Source organism: Homo sapiens, chromosome 2 (genome assembly GCF_000001405.40).
Source record: "Homo sapiens chromosome 2, GRCh38.p14 Primary Assembly".
In the NCBI taxonomy this organism is placed as follows: Eukaryota; Metazoa; Chordata; class Mammalia; order Primates; family Hominidae; genus Homo; species Homo sapiens.
Window position 1 is genome coordinate 146,584,724 of NC_000002.12, and position 9,220 is coordinate 146,593,943.

General features: G+C 37.5%; 1 long non-coding RNA gene and 1 pseudogene across 2 annotated transcripts in view; one reads left to right on the top strand and one right to left on the bottom strand.

Annotated features, from left to right (window-relative positions):
• Positions 1-6,775, bottom strand: part of LOC124907895 (uncharacterized) — a 36,037-nt gene extending 29,262 nt beyond the window's left edge. Inside the window, exon 1 of the long non-coding RNA XR_007087254.1 lies at positions 6,175-6,775. This is a non-coding gene — a long non-coding RNA (uncharacterized LOC124907895). The remainder of the gene's footprint in view (positions 1-6,174) is intronic.
• PABPC1P2 (poly(A) binding protein cytoplasmic 1 pseudogene 2) lies at positions 2,334-6,267 on the top strand (annotated as a pseudogene). Its single transcript, NR_026904.1, has one exon. The product of NR_026904.1 is annotated as a poly(A) binding protein cytoplasmic 1 pseudogene 2 (transcript).
• Positions 6,776-9,220: the final 2,445 nt, after the last annotated feature.

Consider the following 9,220-nt stretch of genomic DNA (forward strand, 5'->3'; position numbering starts at 1 on the left):
TGGTAAGGGTAAAAGAATGAACTGATAATTTTATAAGAAATATTTTGGTGGATTTTATTATGTAGTTTTCTTTGGTTTCTCAGTTTTTTCTAACCTATGCACTTTTAGGAATAAAGTGATTATCACTAATGTGTCTAATAGCCAATTTAGTTAATGTAGCCAATTTATTTAATAATTATGACTAATGTGCCTTTATATACATTGTAAATTACAAGCTTTAATTCTCACCAAAAACATGTTCTAGTGAATAAAGATTGTATTAGTCGGCTAGGAAAATCATAACAAAATGCCACAGACTGCATGGCTTAAACAACAGAAATTTATTTTCTCACAGTCATGGAGCCTGGGATTCCAACATCAAGAGGCCAGCAAGGTTGGTTTTTCTTGAGATCAGTCTCCTTTGTGTACTCAAGGTCACCTTGTTGTTATGTCCTCCCATGGCCTTTCCTCTCTGTGTGGGTGCATTCCTGGTGTCTCTCCTTCTTTTTATAAAGACACCAGGTATATTGGATTAGGGCTCCACTCTTAGGACCTCATTTATCCTTAATTACCTCTCTAAAGATTCTGTCTTCACATACAGTCACATTGAGGGTTAGGGTTTCAACACATGAATTTTAGGAGGACACAATTCAGTTTATATCCAGCATGCGATAACTATAAAATTTTTAAATGCATTTCCTTATTATAAAGAGACTCCTTCCTTATTCATCCATCTCTTTAAAATAGTTATTACTATGACTTAAGTTTTAGCTTCTCTTTTAATGAGAATAATACACCTAGATCTATCAGACCATTTTTAGGAAGCGTATTTTAAAAAATTTCATATCAAATAAGATCTTGACCAAACCAAAAATTGTAAGCAGCCAATTTAGCATAAAAACCAAGAACACTGTCTACTTTGGTATAGTATTGAAGCGACTCACCAATTTAATCAAACCACACTTAGGTGCTAGTGTAGTGACAGAATTTTAGAATAATGTCTTTAAAGAAGTGCCTACATATAACTATTAGAAAAATCACCTGAAGTTTGGAAACAAGCAATAGATTACTAGGTGCTCTTTTATTACTTTTCTATTTGCTGTTCAAAATTTACAACTCTTTAGGAACACAACCTAATGTACAGATTTTTCTCAGGTAAATATGCAAATCATTTCTCTCCAATGAAGAGATAACTGTGAAAGTTACAATTTATTGCCCAGAAAGACATTAACTAGTTTTATATCTAACCCAAGAATCTCACCCTAATATGTTTTCTTAAAATTACCTCTATACCTACCTCATCAAATGTTATTTGAACTGATTTTAACTTTCCTGGTCCATTCATTAATTAACAGGTTAAATAAAATATTTGACACGTCTATTTAATATTTGCCTCAGAGGCACAGATTTACCCTCCTGAAAATAATTCTTAAGCATAACCAATAAACAAATATTCATTGATTAATACCTTAGGTTGGCATATTATAATAAACAATCTAATCTGGAAATTGAATCATTAATAGAGACTATAATACCAAATGATTTATAGTTTAATTTTAAAATTACTTGTCATGCTTTTAGGGAAAAATGGAAAATTAAAACTTTAAGAAAAGCACCTGGAACATTAAAAAAAAATTTCTGTTATTTTTATGTTTATGTAAACATATAGTAAAAGAATAGGTAAATTTCTAAATTTCTTGTTTCCCATTGTCATTTAATAACCACATGTTAATTCTGTATGTAGGCATTGTGAATACATATTTATAAAGAGAAAGAAGGGAAATTAGTATGATTTTAATCTATGGCTATTTATAATAAAGCAAATCATCTCTAACCTCATGGGCTTTGAACTCCCTATTACTAATATAGCTAGAGTCCCACATTGACTCTAAGTGTTTTGTGGGGGAAGAAGAAGCTCAATGATTTTTCTCCCAAAGAAATCTGGCCTAGTGTCCTGAACGGAAAGGAACTAGCTAGGTGGATTGTTGGTTTATGGAAACCTAAATGCAGGTAGGATCCTTTTGATATAGTCTTACTGGGTCAATTCTTCTGTTTCTTCAATATTCAAGGTCAGGAATCTTTTTCCATTGGGAAGTCTTCCTTGCCTACAAACATTAGCTAAATTAGACGCCTCTGAACTCCTATGCCGCCCTTTAATTGCACTTAACATGTATTTCGTATGTTTTATGATACTGCCTCCTTCTTTATTCCATAAGCTCAATAAAAAGAAAAACTGCAATGTTTGTCATCCAACTAATTTAGTGTTTGACATCTACATACTAAGTAAATAAACCGGGATAAAATATATTTGATCAGAGGAACTAATTAGCTTGACATAAAAACTTGAATATAGCCTTTCTCCCTGGCGGTTAGTGCTGAGGCTGAGGACAACATGCATTTACTAAAAATTCAAGAAAAGTCTAAAAAAATCTTTTAAAAATATCCCCTCAAATCGGCATCTACTCCTCCAGAGAGTTACTATAATATTTTTTCTTCCCCTTTTATTAAATAACCCTGTCAGCAGCCAAAACCGACCCCACCCGCGGCCCTGCAGCAGCCGTAAGGAGGAACCACGAGACCCAGGCCTTCCCGCCGCCCGAACCGGACACCGGCAGCCAGCAGACAGCGGCGGACAAGCGACCTCGCTCTGTGGCCAGTGAGTTGTTTCTGATTCGGATGATTTTTGTCCCTCGGCGCGTGCCCTTGCTCCCCGCCCCCGGCTGCGAGACCCCCGGCCCGGCACTCGCTCTCCTCCTGTCACGAAAGGGTCGCGGCCTGTAGCCCTGTGGGCAGCCGTGCCGCGATGAACCCCAGCGCCCCCAGCTACCACATGGCCTCGCTGTATGTGGGGGACCTGCACCCCGACGTGACTGAATTGATGTTCCAAGAGAAGTTTAGCTCGACAGGTCCACCCTCACCATCCGGGTCTTTAGGGACTGGCTCACCCACCTCTTCGTGGGCTACGTGTCCGTGAACTTCCTGCAGCCGGCAGACGCGGAGCGTGCTCTGGCCACCATGAACTTTGATGTTATAAAGGGCAAGCCAGTATAAGTCCTGTGGTCTCAGCGCGATCTATCGCTGCGCAAAAGTGGAGTGGGCAACGTATTCGTTAAAAACCAGGACAAATCCGTTGAGAAAGCACTGTGTGATGCATTTTCTGCTTTTGGTAACTTCCTTTCGTGTAAGGTAGTTTGTGATGAAAATGGTTCTAAGGGCTGTGGATCTGTACACTTTGAGACACAGGAAGCAGCTGAAGGAGCTATTGAAAAAATGGATGGGATGCTCCTGAATGGTCTCAATGTATTTGTTGGACGGTTTAGGTCTCCTAAAGAACAAGAAGCAGAACTTGGAGCTAGGGCAAAAGAGTCCAAAGTTGGACCTGCCTCAAGTGTAAAAGTAATAACTGATGAAGGTGGAAAATCCAAAGGATTTGGATTTGTAAGCTTTGAAAGGCATGAAGATCCACAGACAGCTATGGATGTGAATGGAAAGGAGTTCAGTGGAAATCAAACTTACATTTGTCTAGCTCCGAAAAAAGTGGAAGAGCAGACAGAACTTAAGTGCAAATTTGAACAGATGAAGCAAGATAGAATCACCAGATACCAGGGTGCTAACGTTTGTGTGAAAAATCTTGATGAGAGTATTGATGATGAACGTCTCCAGAAAGAATTTTCTCCATTTGGTATAATCAATAGTGCAAATGTTATGATGGAGGGTGGTTGCAGCAAAAGGTTTGGCTTTGTATGTTTCTCCTCCCCAGAAGAAGTAGCTAAAGCAGTTACAGCAATGAACGGTAAAATTGTGGCCAGCAAGCCATTGCATGTAGCTTTAGCTCAGTGCAAAGAACAGCGCCTGGCTCACTTCACTAACCAATACATGCAGAAGATGGCAAGTGTACGAGCTGTGCCCCACCCTGTAATCAACCCCTACCAGCCAGCACCTTCTACATGTTACTTCGTAGCAGCTATCCCACAGACCCAGAACCGTGCTGCATACTATCCTCCTGGCCAAATTGCTCAACTAAGACCAAGTCCTCCCTGGGCTGTTCAGAGTGTCAGACCTTATCCATTCCAAATATGACCTGTGCTATCCGCTCAGCTGCTCGTAACCACCACTCTGAGACCAGCTTCTTCACAGGTTCCACCAGTCATGTCCACACAGTATGTTGCTAACTCATCAATACAGACAATTAGTCCATGTCCTGTAGCTGCTGCTGCTGGCTCCACTCCTGCGGTCTACATCATTCCACAGTACAAATATGCTTCAGGAATTCTCATTCCTCAGCAGCATCTTAAAGCACATCCACAGGTTACCAGGAAGCAGCTTGCTGTTCATGTCCAAGGTCAAAAACTTTTGACTGCTTCCATGTTAGCATCTGCCCCTCTTCAGCAGCAGAAGCAGATATTGGGTGAAAGACTCTTTCCTCTTATTCAAGCCACGCACCCTACTCTTGCTGGTAAAATCACTGGCATGTTATTGGAGCTTGATAATTTAAAACTTCTTCATATGCTTGTGTCTCCGGAGTCTCTGAAGCTGTAGTTGTACTACAAGCCTACCATGTGAAAGAGGCTCCAGAAAGCAATTAACAGTGCTACTGTTGTACCAACTGCTTAAAATTGATCAGGGACCACCAAAAAACAAAAAAACAATAAAACAAAAAAAACTTGTGTTTCAACAAAGAAAAATATCTAAACATCAAAAAACTAAAATATTATGGAAAAAAATTACAAAATATAAACAAAAAAGGAAAGCAAACTTTGAACCTTATGTACTGAGGAAATACCAAGTCTAGCAAACTTACTAGTCCTAGATTACTTATTGATTTGAAAATAACAGAAAAAAGAAAACAAAAAAATAGGAAAATTTAAAAACAAGCTGGGTGTGGTGGCTCACACATGTAATCCCAGCACTTTGGGAGGCTGGGGTGGATCGCCTGAGGTCAGGAGTTCGAGACCAGCCTGGCCAACATAGTGAAACCTCATCTCTACTAAAAATGCAAAAAATTAGCTGGGCGTGGTGGTGGGTACCTGTAATACCAGCTACTAGGGAGGCTGAGGCAGGAGAATTGCTTGAACCCGGGAGGCAGAGGTTGCAGTGAGCCAAGATCGCACCATTGCACTCCAGCCTGGGCAACAAGAGCAAAAAAACTCCATCTCAAAAAAAAAAAAAATTAAAAACAAATTAATGTTTTATAGATCCTGGGAAAAATAATTTTCAGCAAAGTATGAAAATTTAAAGCATTCCTTTAATTTTTTAACTCTTAACTGTGGAAAAGCTCAGAATGTCAGTTATGTTTTAAATAACAGAATTGATAACTAAACAAGGAAATATAACTTGGATTATGAAATTCTTGGTTTAATAAAAATTCTTTAAATGGTTTAAAAAAACCTGAATAGGCTCAAAAACATAAGGTGATTATGCAGTGTATGTACACATCAAAGGAAGATGTGGCTGGGTGTGGTGGCTCATGCCTGTCATCCCGTCACTTTGGGAGGCTGAGGTGGGAGGATCACGAGGTCAGGAGTTCAAGACCAGCCTGGCCAACATAGTGAAACCCCATCTCTACTAAAAATACAAAAAATTAGCCGGGCATGGTGGCAGGTGCCTGTAATCCCAGCTATTCAGGAGGCTGAGCCAGCTGCCTGGGAGGCAGAGGTTGCAGTGAGCTGAGATCACGCCATTGCACTCCAACCTGGGCAACAGTGCGAGACTCTGTCTCAAAAACAAACAACAAAAAAAGAGAGATGTGTATGCATTAATACTAATATGTGAATCAAAGGATTACTCTAATTTTTTCCAAAGTAATTGCTTATTTAACCTATTCAACCATTTTGTTTGTTTCAAACCTTAATAGGAATATAAACACAATCTAACTCTCAAACAGGTTAAATCTAAACTCTCTACACCTTTATCTAGCAAGTGCTATGTTGTATAGCTTTCTTCACTGTCACATCACAGCTATGATTTTGTAAAGCATTTATTTTTACCTCATTGGGATTTGTAGCTATTAGAATATCAAAGCTATAGGAATATTTCAAATATCCCAAATATAAAAACGAATTTGATTTCAAAGGGAGGTTTTACACATTTAAATGCCTGAAAATAAGGGGTATAATAAAGAGCCTGGTAGACTGTTTACTCTGACAATATCACTGAAAATGGCTATAAAATATGATGGAAACACTGAAAAATTACCTTTGAGGAGGATGCAGAATCCGTTTTCTTTGTAAACTGACCCTGAAGATGTGTCAAAACATTTGTAATATCCACAATAAAGAGTCAACGGCATGACTGGAAGATTTCTTGGGCCTGAAATACAATATTCATTTTAGTGATTCTTCTTATTTAATGTGGTGAGGTGAAAAACTGATATAGTCTATCCATTTTTCTTTAGGTATCCCTATTAATATCCACTTCTAAACTTTCAAAAAGCATAACTAAACAATGCAAAAAATATTTGTGATTGCCAGAGTAGCACAAGGGAACAGCAAAGACCTCTCAGCCATGAAAGAAGGAAACAAATGGGTTAATTTTTTCAATGCTTAAAAACAATCCATCTCAACCATGTCAGTAGTCCATCTGATTTGATTTTCTTCTAACTTAAGCTAAAGTACAGGTTATTCTCACACCTCGGTAAGGATGTAAGGTATTTGAAGACGAGTCCTGTAAGATAAAAATGTCAATAATATATTTATTTTTTGCAGTAAGATGCAGCGTTTTGCAGTCCAATAATTCAATTAGGAAAATGGAATATGCTACTCTGGTTTTTTGAACTTCTTTCCAAGTTTTTAAGAGGTTATTGTTCTAGCCTAGCAGTTATTATTACTCAAAAAATACTAAACTTTTTTTTTGTTTCTATGATGTATTTATTCTATTAATTTTTACTAAGTATTAAGTATGTATTATCAAAAATGATGCATTCTTTAACCTTTCTTATAAATCAATATTTGGAAAGATAGGCTGGTAGAACTGTTACTAAAATATGTAGGCAATTCATTCCTCATAGGGATAAAATATCTTCCAACAATTAGTAGGTATTATATCCCATTACCAATCTTATTCCATTATGACAGTCAAAAGTTTGTTTCCTGGTCAAAAAAGCGCTTCATTTATCAGCACTTATGTATTCTGTGTGTTTCAAAGACTTTGGTAGTTGTCTCCTTGTAGTATTTCAGCTTTTAAGCTGCTTCCTTGCCTCACTGAGCTCACATAAGATACATCTGAAAGCTTTAGTACAAATTTACTTCGAATAAAGTCTTCAATTCATTTTCATGGCACCAAAAAGACAGCTTTAATAACTGCAATGACAAATAAACTGGAAATCATTCCAGGCCTTTTCACTTAACTGACAAGTAGAACACTCTCATAATGAGCCGCAGGTTTTACGTTTTCTCTTTGACCATAATAGCTTCATTTAAGAGTGTCAGACCCTGACACTTCATCATTTATCTACATTATTTCTCATCTTCTTTCAAATAAATTACGGAATACTGGACTGAGAACATAAAAACAAAGTGACTTGTTATCAGTAAACAGTAAGATAAATTGTCCAGAAGTTCCTCATTAAGTTCCTTTTAAATTTAAGGGCAAGTTATTGGGTGCACCTTTTTTAACTTCCAACGTTTGCATTTTTACAACCATCTTATTTCTCTTGCCACTGGCCTCTGCGCACTCATCCAGAGCCTGATGTGGAAGGCATAAAGTAATCCCATTATCCCAAGGTTGGCCGCTGAAGTACAAAGAGGCAGAAGGGGAGAAAATCAAATAAACAACTTCGAGAGAGATTTCTCCACATCTATAAAACCCCCCATCCATAATACATCTTGTCATACTAGAAAATGTGACAGTTCAAAGTAATGAACAGTGCAACTGTAACTCTTTTAGCCCTTGGAAATACAGCACTGACTTTAAATGGATGGGTGAATGCCATCTCCTCTCATTGAATCTTTTTTTTTTCACCTTATGGAACTGGAGGAAATCAAATAAAATCCCGATCGGATTGTATTTCTTTTTGAAACTGTTGACCAAGTTTATGGAAATCCTCACCTCTCTTCCTTCTTGCATATTGGTTTAGTATTAATTTCAAAGGACGTAAAGAATCAGATCACATTAATACAAATATCAGTATTTTAGAAACACTAAAATGTGTTTGTGTGTGTGGTAATACATATTAAAGTCTTATTTATATGCTAAATGTATCAGTGAAAGATGTATAATGTAGATAGTCATAGGCTGATTGTATATTAACAACTTTTTATTGACTTGAGTTATTCTGGAATTAAGCCTTAAGATACTGTTGTGTTGTTTTGTTTTTCTTTTTCTAGGTATTACAATCAGTTTGGTCATAATTATCTCACAGATTTAGCAACAATGTAACATGGAAATTTAAACACTGGTAACTTAGTAATGTTTTATAGATGCCCTACTCAGTGCAAAATTCTGATATAGGGAAATACAAGAAAAGGCTATATGGCATTACCCATCCTCAAAGTTCTCTGCAAATAGGTTTACTTATCTAATTTTGGGATGCTATTTAGCTTCTGAGATTCTATAGTGGTGAGAATAATTTAAGGTGTGAATAATTTATATGCCTGTATATTTATATTTTGAGGAACTTTTCCAAGTTTTAGTTCCTGAGAAGTTGGTGTAATAATATGCTATTTTGGCTCCTTCTTCTAACCCAAACATGAAGATATTTCAGAAAGAGATGTTGATGAATTTCTCAGCCAGCAGATATCATAGAAATGTTGGTGGATGTGTGGGGGCAAAAGAAGATGGTTAGGGCTGTATGTGAATGGGAGAGTGTTGGGAGGTGGAGGTCGAGGTGGAAGGAATGCAAGGCAGAAGAACTTGGAGTAGAAACAGTCTAGGTCATGTCAATTTAGGTAGTCATACATTTTGGTGGAAAAGTGCCTTTTCCCTTCCTCTATTTTGTACCCTTGCAGGAATAGTCGGCCTAGGAGACAGGGAGAAAAGAAATATCTCTTTAAAAGACAGTGTCTGAGTAAATGTACAGATTATCTCATAAAAGCTCTTTATGCTATGGCATGTCTCCTGTCCCCTAAAGTCACCAAGAAAGACAAAGGCCAGGACAAAAATTATCATCCCATCCCCAAGTGTACAACCCAGTAAAGGTGACTAACTCCCAAAGACAATACAAACTCACAAGGGAAAATAAAAAGACAAATATAAGACAAAGACACCAATCTGCAAACCTATAGGCTGAAGACAACAAACTGCA